Genomic DNA, 18,187 nt, shown 5'->3' on the forward strand with positions numbered 1-18,187 from the left:
AGGGTATTTGTTATGGGTTGCATTGTGTACTCAAAGAAGATATGTTGAAGTCCTAATTCTCAGTGCCTGTGAATGTGGCCTTATTTGCAAATAGGGTTTTTGCAGATGTAATCAAGTTAACATTAGGTTATTAAGGTGAGCCCTAATCTAATAGAACTGGTTTTCTGACAAAAGAAATAAACCCAGAGGTAAGACAGCCATGTGAACATAGAAGCAGAGATTGGAATTCTACTGTTACAAGTCAAGGAACACCTGAGGCTACCAGAGGCTGGAAGAAACAAGGAAGTCTCCTCCCCTAGAGTCTCAGAGAGAGCATGAACCTCCTTGCATCTTGATTTTGGACTTTTAGCCTCCAGATGGTGAGAAAAGATATTTCTGCTGTTTCACACCATCCAGTTTGTAGTACTTTGTCACAGCAGTCCTAGGAAATTAATACTGTATAATAATGTGTGCTGCCAATGCATTTCTTAAAGTAATGACTCTAGAAAAGAATATAAGATAGGCTAAGAGCCTTCATCTGGTTTATTCTTGAATCTAGGTAAATATTTCTCTTAATGCAACCAATTCTTTTTGCAATTACATTACATTATAACCTCAGAGTAAGTCAAAAATCAATGAGAAAACCTTGTGTCCGACATCCTATTCTTCCATTGTTGGTGCATGTATGTGTGAACACACACACACACACACACACACACACACACTCACAGAGTCTCGCTCTGTTGCCCAGGCTGGAGTGCAGTGGCACAATCTCAGCTTGCTTCATCCTCCGCCTCCCGGGTTCAAGTGATTCTCCTGCCTCAGCCTCCCGAGTAGCTAGGACTACAGGCATGCACCACCCCACCCAGCTAATTTTTGTATTTTTAGCAGAGACAGGGTTTCACCATGTTGGCCAGGATGGTCGCAATCTCTTGACTTTGTGATCTGCCCGCCTCGGCCTCCCACAGTGCTGGGATTACAGGTGTGAGCCACTACGCCCGGCAAGTTCTTTCATTTTAAAGAGTAAACTCTACATGTTTCTGATTAAGATTTCATTTGTAAATTCATCCTGTCATTCCTAGCCATTGAGATCTTTTTGTAACCAGTCATCCCACATCCTAAATGTCCTGTTCAACTTCATATTATGCAAAAGTGTGGTTAGCCTACCACCTGTCTTCAATGAAATCATTAAGAAAATATTGTTTCAGACAAGGCTGAAGACAGGTTCCTTCTGTATACCCAGGATTCCCACAGAGTAGACATCAATCCATTACTCACCACTCTCTACCAAATGTAACTCACGAAAGTAACTTAAGATGATATACTTGCATTTCTCTACCTTGTCTGAACGGGTTTTTAAGCCTATTATGCCCTCATAGGTGTGCCAGATAGTATTAATAAAATTTTGTCTAATACTTGTCTTCCAGTCTAGCAACCCATTAAAGAAAGCAAAATATCTGTATGGTATAACCCATGCTGATTATAGTCATATTGAAATCTCAAAGTTTCTTATAATGAAACATCCTACAAATTAGCATCATGGTCATGTAAGAATTGAGGTATACACCTTCTTTTAGAAATTCATATTGAATGTCAATATCTAGCATATTACTGAAGTTTACAACAATGATGCAGAAGCATATGGTGCGGAATCTCAAGAAGCAATTTTAGCTGAGAGTCGTGGCACATGCCTGTCATCTCAGCTACTCAGGAAGCTAAGGTGGGAGGATCGCTTGAGCCCAGCCTGGGCAACACAGCAAGACCCCATCTCTTTTTTTTTTTTTTTTTTTTTTTTTGAGACAGAGTCTCGCTCTGTCGCCCAGGCCGGACTGCGGACTGCAGTGGTGCAATCTCGGCTCACTGCAAGCTCCGCTTCCCGGGTTCACGCCATTCTCCTGCCTCAGCCTCCCGAGTAGCTGGGACTACAGGTGCCCGCCACCGCGCCCGGCTAATTTTTTGTATTTTTAGTAGAGACGGGGTTTCACCTTGTTAGCCAGGATGGTCTCGATCTCCTGACCTCATGATCCACCCGCCTCGGCCTCCCAAAGAAGACCCCATCTCTTAAAGTAGTTTTGTTTAGTGTCCTCTCTTCAGGAAGGCAAGAGTCTTGTATTTTGAGTTCAAGCAGCTGTCAACAAGACTTTATATTTAACTACCTATTAGATACCACATGCATTACAGATGGCTGTGGGGTGGCTCTTACAGTGTGAAAGGTCCTTAGAGTTCACTCTTGAGAGTGTTGTCAAGTCACCAGCTTTAAAACACTCTCACGAGATGCTCTCTGCTGTTGGAAAGAGGCAGCTTCCAAAGTCAAAATTCCAAAGAAGGGTCTCTTCCATTAGTGGATAATTTTCTAAATATAAACTTTAATCTTCCTCTTCATAAAATACTTTTTTCTTTAATTTCAAAAATAAATCACATTCGTTTTTCACATGATCGACCTCAAGTTTGAGGAAATGGTCTTGTTCCTGCTCTTTCCTTTCCCTAGGTCCAGCCTGTCACATTTCTTAAACTTTTCTCTCTGAATTCAACAACAACAAAAAACGACTGCTTGATATGCAGAAGCTTGCCAAGCCTCCTGAACAGTTATTCATCTGAGTCACTTTCAAATAAAAATCATGTTGAGATCACCCATAGTAGCTGCAAAGAACTAATTCCCCTCTGCATAGAGAACAATTAAATTACACTAAACTTATGATTTGGGGAATCAGTTTTCAAGGGGTAGTTTCCAAAGCTCTAGATCAATTTTCAGGGTAATATTATTTAAATGAGGGGAAAAAAGAACTTTCATAATTGACAGGATTCAGTCAAGAATCATATCAGCCACTGCTGATGTAACTTACTGACCACCAGGAGTGGTGCAAATGGCTTCTCTATCACCACAACAAACTAACCTCAACCCACTAATAGTGCTTCTGGGAACGACTGCTGTACATTTATCAGACACCAGTGGTTTTTCAAATTACGTAGTTTCTTGACCCTAACAAAGTTTCTCAATTGCACTATGCTGGGTGAAGGAGGGCGGCCACAAGATATCTTTCATCAGTGGAAGGAATGCTATGGATAGGACAGCTCTGATTTTTCTGAAGTCCTTGGATAAGTAAAAAATATTAAGCTAGTTTCTTCATTCCAGTTACCCAACCTACAGCTATTCTCCCCCACTTCCTCATATCTCCTTAGAAGAGCCCAGAACTAACAAGCAAGAGTTTCTCAAAATTCCCTTAAACACACACACATCTGAAGAAAGTGAACCTCTAGAACGTCATCAAGAAGCAAGTATCAAAATAAACATAAGTTCTTGTAGACGTTCTTCCACCTACTAGAACTACCCAGAAGACATGACAAGTCAAAGACCAGGATTCCCTTCTTTTAATGTCTGTTTAGGTATGGTAACATGGGAGCTGCAGGAACAACTCTTCCCAATACACTAGACCAGCAAGGTGTCTCATCCAGGGCAGAGTTTTTAAAGACCATCTATGACAGTAAAAGAGCAGGGAATGACAGATACCATAGTTACCCCCAAAGAGTTATATTTTTGGGGGTGAGCAGATGATATGTCATTTGGTCATAGGATATTAATCTCCTATGATTCGGTTAAACTTCATGGGGATTGCAGAGGAGGTCTGCCAGCTGAATCAACAGGGTAAAGTAAGTCTTCAAAATCTTGGAGGAGAAAAAGAGTGAATAACTAAACATGAAGTTTAATGATGACACAGCGCAGATCATTCAACATTAAAAGCCTGCTTTTGACTACCAGGAAGAGGCATGAGAACATAGCATGTGAGGTGAAAAACAATGAGATGGCAGAGAACTTTTTTTTTTTTTTTTTTTTTTTTGAGACAGAGTCTCGCTCTGTCACCCAGGCTGGAGTGCAGTGGTGCGATCTCGGCCCACTGCAAACTCCGCCTCCCGGGTTCACGCCATTCTCCTGCCTCAGCCTCCTGAGTAGCTGGAACTACAGGCACCCGCCACCAAGCCCGGCTAATTTTTTTTTTTTTTTTTTTGTATTTTTAGTAGAGACGGGGTTTCACCATGTTAGCCAGGATAGTCTCGATCTCCTGACCTCGTGATCCGCCCGCCTCGGCCTCCCAAAGTGCTGGGATTACAGGCATAAGCCACCGCGCCCGGCCGATGCCAGAGAATTTTTCAGCCCCAAGTCATACTTTATTACACAAGGGGGAATAAGAACTTAAAAATACTTTGGCTGGGACAGAGCGAGACTCAGTCTCAAAAAAATAACAACAACAACTTTGGATTTTCAAAATATTAGACAATTTTTACAATTCTCAAAGGGCCAAAGTATGAGAGAAGCATCGAAATAAATAGGTCCCTCTATAAAGATTAAAGAATTCGAAAAACAATTAATTGGGAAGTATTAATTTGCAGTCATTTGGGCAACTCCAAATTTCACCAGTTGCTTACATTTTAGGGCATTCATCTTATGTAAAACATCTGAATTTAAAAAATAAAATAAAACCCACTGATGTTTTTCAAAGTGGCTGTAGAAGCTGGAATCTACCTGCATGTTAATTAAATCTGTAGCTTTCACATCTGTGTCTCACAGATACTAAAACAGTGAGGTTGGTTCAGTTTGCCTCTTGGTGAGGTCTTGTCAAAAGGAGATTAGCGATCAAAACAAGAAATGCTCAGTAAGACTGAAAGTTCTTTTTATTTGTTCCTTTGTTCTCTCTGTGATGACATCAAGATGACCACAGTGTCCATGGGGGGAGCAGAGCAGGTTTCGCCCCTGAACCAATAGGGCAAAGCAAAGGAAGCACAAATCCCACAAAATTTCAGAGAACAAAGCACAGGGAAAAGAATGCAAAGTGTGCCCTCTATTGGTCCATGTGTTTTCATTGCTGAGGTGATTAGTTGGCAATTGTATCCAGCAACAGGGGAGGGACTAAGGCCTTCATGTTACAAAAATTCTAAAATGTGCTGACACAGAAACAAAGATCTAGCAGGAGCCCACTTGGCCAGAATTGAAGAGTGCTAAGCCCCAGTTCTGGCCATTCTGTGAACTGGCAGCATGATGCCTCAAGTCAGATCAATGCCAGCACCACATGTCACCAGCTGGAAAGCTACAACAGCTATTTCTAAAACTATATATTAACTGTTTTCTTAATGAGATAAAAGTTAGATCACATGAGAAGTTTTAACAAAACCCCTATACTGTATATTTGTGTTGTACTTTTATAAACTCTTTAGTGGGATTGAGAGAATTTAACAACTATTGTCTTTGAGTAAGGAATTACTTGCCAAGTAATTATTTACTGAAATAAATCTTGAGACAGTGCTTCCAGTGTGGCTTCATATTGTTAAATATAAACATAGCAAATGGCTGAAAACTCACACAAGGAAAATAAACTTTTAGAAAACAATTATGTGTATCACTTTGAAGCAGTCATTTGGCATCATGCTAATTTGGAAGGTCCACCTCCTATTTTTTAAGCCAATGCTCCTTAACCTATTGAAGGAAAGAGATGAAACTTGGACCTCTTTGAGACTTTAGTGAAAGCTCTATATCGTCCCTCTACACCACAAAAAGCAACAGAAAATGTTTTTGCTTCTAATTTCAGGAAGCTTACAAAAACCCTAGCCCTACCTCTGGACCCCAAGTTAAGAAACCCTTCTGAAAACAAATGTGCTAAACTGGGTAACTTCTATTTTATAAGTGCTCTTAGTATCTTTCAGCAAGAGATGAAAATTGAAAAAGTTTTAAGTAAATTGTAAAAGGTTTTCTCCAAATGACTAGATGAGAAAAGCTACCTATAATCACTTTCTCTACATTTTAGAGTAAAAAATAAGAGATATTTAATACCTTTGCTCTGACCCTTATTATTCTAACATGTGTTAAACACAAAATACACATAGACACCCATACACACATACATGAACACATGTACAGGCAAGTACACACATGCACACACACATTTGTTCTGGCTATACTAGAAATGTTTCTATAATTCATATTCAAAAATAATTTTAAAAATTACCAATGCAAGTATGCAAATTTTTACTAAAACATACTTATGGTCCTGCCCCTCAATTACTCCACCCCTCAGCCTTCAGTTATTTAATATTCATTACTTTATTAGCATAATTATGAGTTGTAGGAAGTTCTGGGGATCAATAAGGGTCTGTGGTCTGAAGAATTTTGAATGGGGTCAAAGGGAATTTCTTTTCTTTGAATTAATGTTTATGTTGAAACATACCGTGTACAGGAAAACCTAGTGAATTCAGGAAAGTTGGATCCTAGCTCTGTTCTCTTCCTCTTAACTGTTAGTTTTAAAACCACACGTTTCTATAAGCAGCTCACCTTCTGTATACGTCAAACAGGTCCCACTTCATTCAAAGGACAGTGAAATGTCAGTGTTCTCCTGGAAGGCACTACACAGAACTGTGTGGTCTCTTCATACTTACAGAACTTGTTCTAAAATACACACACATCTGTATCTCTCATGGGTATGTCCACATAGCTACATTTATTATACTAAAATCATAAATATAATAACTAGGATTAAATTTTTTCCTGTACTTATATTATTAATATGAGTATATAGAAGGCAAATACCACTTTCTTTTATTTTATCCTAAATTATTATTCATTCATATGGTCAAAGTGTTTGGGGATAAAAATCCTTTATTGCCCTTTTCTATAAAATAAGTATTTTTTAAAATATGGGTTACCAGCCGGGCACGGTGGCTCACGCCTGTAATCCCAGCATTTTGGGAGGCCAAGGCGGGAGGATCACCTGAGGTCAGGAGTTCAAGACCAGCCTGGCCAACATGGCAAAACCCCATCTCTACTAAAAATACAAAAATTAGCTGGGCATGGTATTGGGCATCTATAATCCCAGCTACTTGGGAAGCTGAGGCAGAAGAATCACTTGGACCCAGGAGGTGGAGGTTCAGTGAGTCAAGATCACACCATTGCACTCCAGGCTGGGCAACAAGAGCGAAATTCCATCTCAAAAAAAAAAAAAAGGGTTACCCCACTACCACCAGTTTTCCCTACCATACCCACAAATCACCTGTCACTTGGAATACTCAATCATTCAAATAACAAACAAGTATACAGATACACAGACACTAGTGTACTCGGAGAAATTCTGAAATAATCAGAAGAGACTTCAGAATGAGTACTGGGCTGGGAATGCTTTTATACCTGTTTTTTTTTTTAATTTTTCTTTAAACTATAAAGAATTATAAATAATGAGAATACCCATAATATTTAATCATTCAAACATCAACTATGTGCAAAGAACTTCAATTTTTAAAAAAACAGCATTTCTCATTAAGTCACCAAAATAATTTTAAGGGAAAACAACAAAAATGTTATATACAATGACTTTTTGTTCCACTACATTTTGTGGAGAAAGCACTCTAAAAGGTCTAGTTTGAGGAGTACAAAGATAAATGTACCGTAGTTCTGCCTAAGAGAAGCTTAAAATATGATGATACATAAGGCAAGATAACCAGAAAAAAAGGAAAAATAAGAGTCCTTTAAGAATAGCCCAGAAATCTAAGAAACTATGAGGGAATAATTGATTTTGGCTTTAGAAAGGAAGGCAGAAAATTCCAGGAAGGCTTCACAGAAGCAGTGGCATTTTAGGTGGGCACCACACACATGCTCAACAGCGCAAGAGCTTGAAAACACATGGCATGCCCAGAAATGAAGTTATCTGGGATAGCTTAAGCCAAGTGTGCTTTCAAGGTGGTAGAAGGTTGAAAGCAGGCTGTGGTCAGATGGTGGGGAACGCTGACTGCTATAGAAAAGGCTGGTGTTTATTCGGCAGTCAATATGGAGGCCTGGGAGGTTTAGGGTTTATTAGCAGAGAAGTAATATGATCAGATCTGTGGTGGAGAAAAATGGAATGTGGCAGCACTGTAAGGGATGGAGCATCATAAGTGGATTGAAGTAGATGCTGGAGGATGAGGAGTCTATGAGAGCCTGAGCTAGGAAATATCTTTGGGAATGGAAAGAATGAGATGGATATAAACTCACTAATCCGATATAGTTTAGGCAAGAACAAACTGATACGAGGCAACAGAAAAGTCAAAGACTATAGCGAGGCTCCCAGCCTTGGCACCCAGAACTCCATGGATAAAAAAAGAATATAAGCAGAGGAACACATTTGGGAGGGGGCACAGAAAAGAAAGCGAATTGTCAGGTTTGAGTATGCATGGAATATCTATCCATATTGGCAGTAATTGGGAGATCTGAGTGTAGGATAATCTGAAGCTGAAAGAAAAAAAAAGAAGAAAAGAAAAATTGAGCCTAGAATTAAAGGACTTTATGTAGAAATGACAGTTCGAGAAACAGGGACGGGTAAAATTCCCCAAGGAAATGAATAAAGGTGAAGAAACACTAGTCTACATTCTCAGTGAGGGAACCAAAGAAGAGAATGGACAGAAAATAGGAGGTAAAACCAGTGCAGTGTCACTAGCCAAAGGAAAGAGGTGATAAGATATCACCATAGGAACAAGTCCCAGAGAACTGTACCGATGCTGGACTTGGCAATGAGGGGAGTATGACTGGCCATTAAGAAACCCCTTTCTAAAAATCTCTGTACCTTCCACTCAATTTCGCTGTGAACCTAAAAGCGCTCTAAAAAATAAGTCTAACATTTATAAACTTTTAATATTTTTCTTGTTTGTTAATTTCTTTAAAGAAAAGAAAATCTTTTTATTAAAAGGGTGAAGGTAGAAGCCAAATAGTAACAGATTGAAGAGTGAATGAAACAGGATTATCAAGCCAGAGGAGGGAAGGGAAGAAGTGAAGGAAAGCAGAAGAGATTGGAAAGCAGTGTGAAGAAGGAGGGAATCAGCAATTTTGGGATTAGAGGAACAGCAGCATGCTTGAAATAAGGGTGACTGATCCAGAAGGGTCCTAGAGGAGAGAAGAACAGGTGGAAGGTGGGCTTTGGAAAGAGTAAAAACACTATCCCTACCCAATCTTATTCTCATTCTCTCCCTGCCACCCCCTTTCCCACCCACTCCCATCTTTTCATCTTGTCGAAGAGAAAGATGAAAAGGACTAGAAAAAAATGAGTGAAAATCTTTTAGTTCTGAAATCCCGATCCTCCATAATTATACTATACTCATCGCTTTCCCTACACACACACCCATGTATACACGTATGCATATATACCTTCCCTAATATATATAAATATACATTATGTATACACTTTAGTATTAATTAGCATGTTTTCTATTTATTCTGGATGAACATATGAAAATGTATAAATATAGATACGCAACACTGTCTTCACCTGATCAGCCCTTGATTGCTGCAGTTAATGGAGAAAAAATAAGCTTCATGTCATCTTAAATACAGAAATTTTAAAACTTTGTCATCCCAGAGTTTATCACCTCCTTTTAGCAGAGTAGTTATCAAGCTTATATCAAATAAAATCTGTCTGTCCCCTACTTCCTGGACTTGGGATGGATAAGGATACGTATTTCCAAAAGAAATAGTTTAAAGGCAGTCAGTTGGAAGGAAAGAAGTACCCTGGATATTCCACAAACTGGCCAGTTTGTCTCTAAATAAGAGGTGGTTTTGCATTAGGGAACTAGAAGTGTCATTTCCAACTTGTGATTTCTGTGAATATTGGATTCTAGCCAAGCTGGATTTTAAAAGCAAATAAAGAAAGCCCAGGGCCTAGGGGAATGTCACCTATTCTGAATCACTTCCAAATTTCTGTGGCAAAATAAGATGTTAGTTTGAGCACAGCAACTTTCTGACCTCTCTGTACTGGTAAGACCCTGCCTTAAAAAATTATGCCGTTATGTTGGAAGAGAAAGCAGCCAATCAAAAAAGAGAAAAGAACAGAACATGTTTATGTTGCAAAGTTAAACATCACATCAGCTTTTCTGAAATACTTTGGAACTTAAAGTAAGCAAGTGTACAAAATGTGTTTTGAAACTTTTTCATTTAACTGTAGGTTAGTATGTTCCATGTGTCATTTTGTATTTTGAAAGAATATCAGGAGAAGTAAACTATTTAGAAAGTATTTGTAAAAAAAAAATTCGAATCTTTTCATTAAATTTTTAAGAACACAAACACAAATTAATTTATCTCTATAAGGTTTAAGAGAAAATGTTTGCTTTCTCTGGCCTCAGTTACCAGAAACATGCCACAATATTTGTGACAAACCCTTCCTTTTTATGGAAGAAACTATATCTAATTTTGTGAAACAAGGAGTTATTAGAGGAAGGAGAAGCTGAGGATTCAGTACGGAAAAGGCTACGGAAAGAAACACTAGTCATAGCACGCCCCCTGCCATCGGACCACCAGAAACATGAATTATACATTTGGAAACCTTGCTGCATTGAGAATTATATCAAGAAGTTTTCATAAATCCCTGGTTAAAATACCACAAGGTATAAAAATAGAATGAGGGAGATATAAGATTAAGTCATTACATGCCATGCTCCAGAAATTCCAGGAGACCACAATAAAGTTATGATTTGTCTATCCACCTTTCAGTAATCCAGTCTGAAATGTGGCTTACAACCATTCCAAAAAATGAAAGTAATCAAAGAACTCCACTTAACATATAAATCAATCATAAGTGGTTTCAAGACCAAGACAGATAGTAGGGGTTAACAATAGCCAATCATGACTATTTTGAAGGGGGAGTCAGGGAGACAAATCTTAATATGCTACATGGAGAGAAAAATAAGAGTTATTAATCAGCTTTTCAAAATGTTGGCATGTGTCTCCCCTCTAAAAGATATTCATTGTCAGTATTGTATTGTGTTTGTGCCTAATTAATTTTTTAAAATTATTGCAACCAGGCCCCATTAGTGACTATCAAATGCATTTTTATAATTTTTCAAAATAAGGGGAAGAAAATATGGTAGGTAGGTAGTCTTATTGTTCGTGATGATCTCCCCCATTTGAAGTTTTGTCCAAAAGTAGAGACGGTCAAAATACTATTTTCTCAATCGTCTGGCTATATTTTGAAATAAAATATACCGTTAAATGATATATTTGCTCTCCATTCCAAACTGGATGCAATTGATTTTAACTGACTAAATTATCTAATCTCTGCCAAGAATTTTATTTCATTAAGAAAATGATATTATGGAGCATGTGAGATCATAGAGCAGACTAAACATAATGCCAAAGGAGTTCGGAGAATGCTCCACAGTGAAGGTTTGATTATTCGCAGATGGAATATGGAAAAAAAAAAAAAAGAATCAGGTCCCAGGGGTAAGCCTAACCAATCCTGGTACCACTGCCACCTACTTGTAGCACAAAGCCAAGAAAATAACTAATCTTCCAAACTACAACACCTTTTATAAAAAATACCAATTACTTTTCTTCTTGGAAAATAATATTTAACTGACACTATCCAAAACAAAGGGGAAAAAGGGAAATGTTGGTATCACATAGGCCCTAACATGTCAACTGTCACTGCTGACATGATTTGGCCAGTAGTCAAGCATTCACTGAGGAACTAATTGAAATCAATCTTTTTGGGGAAAGCCAATTGTTTGGTATGCACAACAATTGGTGTAGGATCAATCAGTGGACATGAGATCAATTAAAACCAGCTTAAGTTTGTGAAGAGGGACAATTCACACAACTTGAGTTAGATCTCTATTCATTTCAATACTCTCACAATGCAATCCTTAAGCTTCCCTGCAAAGTAGAAAAGCTACTATCACCCTACACTGTCTGGCCAGCCCTTTAAGTAGTTCCACTTTTAATTAAAAACACAGTACACCCTTTGTTGGTACAGATAGTGTGGTCACTTTTAAGGACGACAGTTATTTTAGCCAGAAACTTGGGATTTGTAAAGGGATATCTGTTGAGAAGAAGAAAAAAAGTTTGATTTTTTTTTTACACCCTTACCAATTTACACGTTCTTGAAAGCATTTGAATTTTATTAAATCGAAAGGTTGATTTGGCATAAGTTACTATTGCACAATTTAGAGTTAGACTGTCAGTGCTTTGGGATGTGGATGGTAATCGTTACAAGAGATTTTGCTAAAAGTAAGCTTTGAAATAAATAGGTTCTGCTTCAGATACCTAAGAAGGCATAGGCAGATTCTTAGAGATGGCACTGCAGAGAAGGCATGCAGTATCCCTTCTGGCCGCAGGAGTGCTGTAATGTCCTTTTCCACCAAACAGCATCTCTGCATTAAGTTCTACTAAAACAATATGCTTGGTTCTTCCCCACTCAACCACAATGGGACAGGCAGGGTGGATCAGAAAGCCATCACTGAATTAGCAAGTCATCTAATAAGGATCTGGCAAAGGATTTTAGACATTTCTATATTTTGCAGACTTCAAGCACTTTAGTTTTTCTAAGTAGACTGCAGCTTTGACTTATAAAAAGAGGAAAAGCCTCTCCAAACACTTTTGACCATAATGTAATCAAAAATTGCTGGCTCTGCCGAATACTCGAAAGAAAGTACTGGGATTGAGAAAGGAATCAGGAGGGGAGGAGAGAGGAGATAAAAAGGGACTTTTTCAAGACAAGTATCAATATCAAACTCTCATGGCCTTTGGGAAGAAATTTCTCTCTAGTATTTTTAAGTAAAATAATTTCTGAAAATAAACAATTTCCAAAAGTCAGAAATCGGGGGAGAGGGAGGGAGAGAAGTTGGAGAAGGTTTATTCTTACAAGCCGCAGATACAGAGACAATTGAAGCGCAGGGACTACAGAAGTCGCACACCATCAGTTATTTGGAGCTCTGCGCTCAGGTGGGCCAATCTCTAGCTCTGCCCCTAGGTGAGAACAGCTTAACAATGTCCTAAAAAGCCATCAAAAAAATAAGGTTCGGAAAGTCCTCCTCAAAATCTGGATGCAGGAGCGGAGATTACACACAATGAGTTATAAACAAATCACATCACAGATCGAGTGAGATGTTTACATCTTGGAGAAAAAGTCAACATTCATGAACCCGGCGACAAATTCTAATTGCGCAAAAGTCCAAAGTGCCGAATGAAATAGACAGCTCTCACCAGGTCCCTGGGAAGGGGCTGCTGCGCGCCCTTCCTGCGCGGGTAATTCGATGTGCGTGTGGTGAGTGGTTTATGTTTAAATCCACCCAGAAAATTGAATCGTGTCTAGCCGCCCTTCTTCTAAAATGCAGTTGGATTAGTTGCATCTCCAGCGGACTCCGAGACAGAAATACGCACTAAATCTGCAGGAAAGCGAGTTCCCCGAAACCTTTCTGGAGGCTTCCACCCGCCTTCTCCGCTACGCACAAGTGATGGAGAGGGAGGGAGCAGTTAAAAAGCCGCAAGTGAATTTCATTGAGAACAGAAGCCTCCACCGGTGTGGCTGCTTTTGCAAAGCAAATGGAGAGAGCGAAGTGGGGCCTGTTTTAAAAACAAACCTCTGGAGGCGAGGACTCCCCAGAAAACCAGCGCGGGAATTGCTGCTTAATTCAGAAAGTTCCCATCTCGTCGCAGTTTCCAGAAAAAAGAGATCTATGTTGGCCTTTTTCTGGAAAGGGAGGTCCTCCCCCTCGACTTGGTACCCCTCCCAAGCTCCGGAATACAGACACACGCTTGGGTACACCCACACACCACACACACACTATGCTAGGTCAAGTCCGAAGAGATCTGAGGCCGGGTTTGGGGCGCACGTGGATGGGGAAGATAAAACAAATGAGCTACAGGGAAGATGGTTAGGAGGACAGAGAGAAGAACAACGACGACAAAAAAAAAATGCATGTCAGATAAGAAATACGTCCTAAAGAGACAAGTTTAGATGAGGAGGTGGGGCGGCGAACATGAGTGCGGACCGCACGACTTAGCCCTGAGCGCCCGATTGGCGCCCGGCTCGCCGAGCTCCCAGCGCGTCTCGCTCCGGCTCCCCGCGCCTCCAGGGTACAGAAAACAGAGTGTTTTGTAGAGCTCCAGGGTCCTAAAGGTGGGGACTGGGGACCCGCAAAAGCTGGGGTGGAGAGCACAGCCCTGACCATCTGAGCCCCCGGAGCCAGGGCGTGAGTGAGCGCCTCCACACGCCACCCCTGAAGCCCACCACGCACCTTTGGCAGAGAGGGACCCACCTCGCTTACTGCGTCTCCATCGGTTGCCTTGGCAGTGGCTGTAATCCATGCAGTTCAGAATGATGAGGGCAAAGGAGAAAAGGCGAAACTGCATCTGGGCGGTCGGGCGGGGGAGAGACGCCTCTCAAAGTCTAGGAACTGGAGGGTTCGCCCAAAGAGCCGGCGCCGGCCGCGCTGCTGGGGAGGACTCAGAGGGAGACTCGCCACTCACCCCCGGGCCGCACCGGTCAGTTCAGCGCGATCAGCATCTCTCCGCCACGAACCTGAGAGACAAGAAGCGAAAACAGGGTGTGTGGGGGATGGAGAGAGCCCCGGGGAGGCAGCTGCGCCTTCGCACGTCCCAATTTAAAGAAGAGAGGGAAGGAGGAAGCGAACCCACTGCCTAGCACGAGCCGCGGAGCGGCTTAATCCAGAGCGGGCAGCTGCGGACGAGTTGGAGAGGAAGGTGATTATAATCAGTGAATTAGCAACCTCTGCCGAGCCCTAAGCTCCGACCCAGCGGCATAATGCGTTGTGCCGGCGCTCCGGGGAAAGGAAAGAACTCTAAAGGCACTGAGAGCGCAGGGCTAAAAGAACGCTCTTAGGCCATTTGGAGTCCACGGCGGTGTACCCAAGCGCCGCAGCTGCGGCTGCCTTGGTGTGGGTTGCCTACCGTGCGCACGTCTCGGGCGGCGCGGCCTCCCTAGGCGCGGTGCTCCATCCCGGGCTCGGGAAGCGAGCCGCTTGGTTAGCACGTGGGCTGGGGAAAAGTTTGCCGAGACCGGCTGGGAGCGCCTGGCAGCTCTGGAATTCCAGCGGCCGCCGCGGGGTTGGCGACGCCAGGCAGGAGCGCGGAGCGGCGGGTGCAGCCACTGGGATGCTCCGTCCCCGCCCGCGAGCGCGGTCCCCAGGCAAGGGGTGCGCCCGCTCACACTCTCTGCCTCCCTAACCAATTGTGTCGCTTCCTGCGCTTTCTCCACGGTCACTTCACAGCTAAGATTTCTTTCTTTCCGAGCTGTAGAAGGCAGAACGCTCTCGGGAGGACGAAGTGATCCGAAGGGATGTGGCAAGCGCACTTTCCGATGGAGATGCAGACCGGCTGAGGCTTGGGATGCTTCTATAAGTAGGTGGTGCTGTGGTCCAAGGCATCTAAGTCTAGGCTGCCTCGGAGTTCCTGGGTCCTAAAGCCAGAAACGTCCCGGTTTCCCTGAGGTCCTAAAGAACGTTGACAGCCAACAGCGCGCCTAACTTGGAGCGAATCCTCTTCGGGCTTTCCAGAGTGCGGGGGATAGATAAAGAGTAGCTGGGGAGACGCCCCCTGACCTTGCTGGGTCCCAGAACCCGGCTGCTCACCCCCAAGGGGTCCTCTCCAGCCCTCTAGGGTCAGTTCCAACCTCAGCGCCAACCTTTCTGCAGGGAGATCTGACTGAAGGACTGATGACTCCCTTTAAACTTTTGCAATATGCCACAACTCTGCCACTTTTTAATTTACATCTTGTCTGTGTTTTGCAGGAAGGTATGTTAGCCGGCTGAAATTATTCATAAAACGCGCCCCCACTTTGAGGAGTGAAATGGGTATTCCCAACAGCTTTTGTTCATCCTCAGAACTGTTATTTACTTTGTTTCTTCTCCAATAAAACAAAAACCTGTGATCCGTTGCCTGAAGTGCTGAAGAAGTTGGGGCCTTGATTCTTTAAAAATAATTTTAAAAAGTTCACTTCCCACTAAAGTATTTTTCATTCTTAATCCTCCTCTCATTTCCAAAGTCTCCTGAATTAAACTTTTAGGTGCTTTGGGTTTGGGGAAAATATTCTGTTTAACAAAGTGTTACATTAAATAGACTTGATGCCATCCAATTTCATTCTGGTGAAATCTGTCCTGCATTCACTACTGTAGGAAAAAATGTATTTATTCCTTAAGCAAAAGATAAGAATTTATGCCACTAACCGTGGCAGTATGAATGTCTATAGATATGCCCGCAGTTACCATATTATTATGATAGCATTTTATACTATTTAAATTCCCTTTTCTATTCCTTCAGTTTCAGAAGATGTTCAGAAATTTGATGACTTAAAAGACAATCATATAAAAAGAATATTGCAATACTCATATTTATTAACTATTCCATTATTGCCTATTCATAACTATTTTACAGACTCACTATTACATAGTGGTATTTATGTGCTAAGAATTTCAGCAGTATGCCTTTGATGCATGCCTGAGAACACCCAAGTAAATCTGAGTTGAGGTCATTGGTCCCATTTCATAGATAAGAAAATCCATCACTGAGACTGGCCCACAGGGCACAAATAGAGTTCACAAAACACATTGCAGAAACAGTGGATCTGTTTCTTGACTTTTGAGCCTTTGATTTTTATCACAGAATTTGGAAACATTTCAGTGTAGGGAGTGGCCCCAGTGTTTGGCATAACTTGATATTTCTTGATCATCTTGATATGATGCTGAATATCTCTTCAGCACCATAAATACTACTTCTTTCCAAATATAGTCATATATGCACACAACAAATGAATTATACTTATAAAGGAGTTAAATCTATGGGAGAAAGGAAGTCTTCCCTAAGTAAGCCCCCCTGCCTCCTTGCAAAGCTTTGAGATCCATTCAAGATCAGTGGTCATCAGTGTCTTTTAAAATATTTAAAGGCAAAAGTAAACACAAGACCAAGCAGAGGTAGCGCTACCATTAATCACCTGCGTCACTTTGGGCAATTTTCTTGGTCTCAGTTTCCTTGGCAGTATTTTTAGGAAGTCTGTCCAAGGTCTCTTTCACTTCTACATGTTCTGGTTTACAATCAATTTTCTATTTGTACTAGGAAGTTTGCTATGGTATCTAACCAGTGTAAGGGCAAACTCATCAGTGATGGGTTCTTTGTGTAGAAAGAAGAGGGTTAGCCACTGCCTTCCTTAGTTAAATTTACAGACCACTTCACCCTTATCCCTTCAAAGACAACTTTCCATAATTTTAATTTTAATCTTTTGTGTTGTACAGTTGGTGCATTTTTAGCCAGAGATGCTTTTCAGTTTAGTGAACCCCCAGATTCAGTTCATGAGGAAGAATTTTGACAGTACCACTTCTGTAGAAAATTGGTTAATGTGTTTAGTAAGAAAAGAATAGGCTCTGGAAGAAAGGAAAATTCTTAATTCCTTCTTTTGCTCCCTCCTGGTCTATCTCTGCCTCTTAAAAGACACCAGTGAACCTTAAAACTCTGTCAGACTTAGTTCTTGGGGTACTTGGAGTCTCACACTTAATCACTTTGGGGCTAATTTGTTGATAATGCAGAATTTTTTTTTTTTACATTCACTGAATATTTTTCCTGACTTCAAAATCCCAGGAATGTTCTTGCTACTAAAAAATACAACCCTAATGGATCCTAGACTATCATTAACTTTAATCCCATATCTCTGCTTCCTTTCATTTCTAAACTCAGAATGTGGTGTTGTTGAGGCTCACAGCTCACAGTTTCTCCATCTTGGAGACTCAATGGACTTTTTCTTCAAACTGAGTTTATATAGTGGTTTCATTAAACTGGCTTTGTAAATAGACTTGTGCCTGGGTTCTGTTTACAGAGAAGTATACTGATATACTGAGGAGGTTGACTCTATACCACTCATTGGTGATAGGGAAAGTTAACTGAGGGCAGAAGTGGGGGATGATGTTATAGAGAGGAGATAACTTCTGTATTTTATTTTTTGACTTGTAATTCGTTCATACAGCTCAAAATTCAATCCTTACAAAACACCATAACAGGGCAAAGTCTCTCCTACCTCCTTCTCTCAGGCATCCAGTTCTCCTTAGAGTCAATCAGTTATTCTTTTACAAGTGTTCACGGTTTTTGGTATACTTCAGAAGATGTTTGGTGCTTATCAAACAAGTAACTTGATAATCTTTTTGCTTATCAAGCAAGGAAAGAAGGAAGAATGTATTATATATATGTACATGCACATATATAGGCATACATATAATATGTGCGTATACATATATATAATACATTCTTCCTTCTCTGTTTTATAATATATTCTTCCTCTCTTTTATGCAATTAGTAGAATACTGTATTCACTAATCTGTACCTTGAGGGGTTGTTTTTTTTTTTTTTTTTTGAGATGGAGTCTTGTTCTGTCGCCAGGCTGGAGTGCAGTGGTACGATCCGGGCTCACTGGAACCTCCGACTCCC

The 18,187-nt window shown here is 41.0% G+C and overlaps 1 protein-coding gene across 3 annotated transcripts in view, besides 4 other annotated features; it reads right to left on the reverse strand.

The window, feature by feature from the left end:
• Nucleotides 1-15,092, reverse strand: part of RSPO2 (R-spondin 2) — a 184,305-nt gene extending 169,213 nt beyond the window's left edge. Inside the window, exons 1-2 of one of the 3 annotated variants that reach the window (NM_178565.5) lie at nt 14,669-15,092; nt 14,017-14,279 (exon numbers count right to left, since the gene is read on the reverse strand). In NM_178565.5, coding sequence (NP_848660.3) covers nt 14,017-14,110 — 94 coding nt within the window. In that variant the 5' untranslated portion in view covers nt 14,111-14,279; nt 14,669-15,092. Of the gene's footprint in view, nt 1-13,338; nt 13,429-14,016; nt 14,280-14,395 lie in introns of those variants that run through there. The other 2 variants (NM_001282863.2, NM_001317942.2) reach the window with 2 other exon arrangements.
• Nucleotides 13,113-13,407: a silencer, noted in NCBI's record as "tiled region #222; HepG2 Repressive non-DNase unmatched - State 22:ReprW, and K562 Repressive non-DNase unmatched - State 21:Repr". NCBI's record gives its function as "represses a minimal TATA promoter and a strong SV40 promoter by Sharpr-MPRA in HepG2 and K562 cells {active_cell/tissue: HepG2 | K562}" and the evidence as "EXISTENCE:reporter gene assay evidence [ECO:0000049][PMID:27701403]".
• Nucleotides 13,113-14,231: a biological region, named in NCBI's record as "Sharpr-MPRA regulatory region 222".
• Nucleotides 13,285-14,231: an enhancer, noted in NCBI's record as "H3K4me1 hESC enhancer chr8:109094041-109094987 (GRCh37/hg19 assembly coordinates)". NCBI's record gives its function as "activates a minimal SCP1, AML or CMV promoter by ChIP-STARR-seq in naive H9 embryonic stem cells {active_cell/tissue: H9 hESC(naive)}" and the evidence as "EXISTENCE:reporter gene assay evidence [ECO:0000049][PMID:30033119]".
• Nucleotides 13,948-14,123: a silencer, noted in NCBI's record as "fragment chr8:109094704-109094879 (GRCh37/hg19 assembly coordinates)". NCBI's record gives its function as "represses an EF-1alpha promoter that drives an FKBP-Casp9 reporter gene in an ReSE screen in HepG2 liver carcinoma cells {active_cell/tissue: HepG2}" and the evidence as "EXISTENCE:reporter gene assay evidence [ECO:0000049][PMID:32094911]".

Source organism: Homo sapiens, chromosome 8 (genome assembly GCF_000001405.40).
Source record: "Homo sapiens chromosome 8, GRCh38.p14 Primary Assembly".
Taxonomy (NCBI): Eukaryota; Metazoa; Chordata; class Mammalia; order Primates; family Hominidae; genus Homo; species Homo sapiens.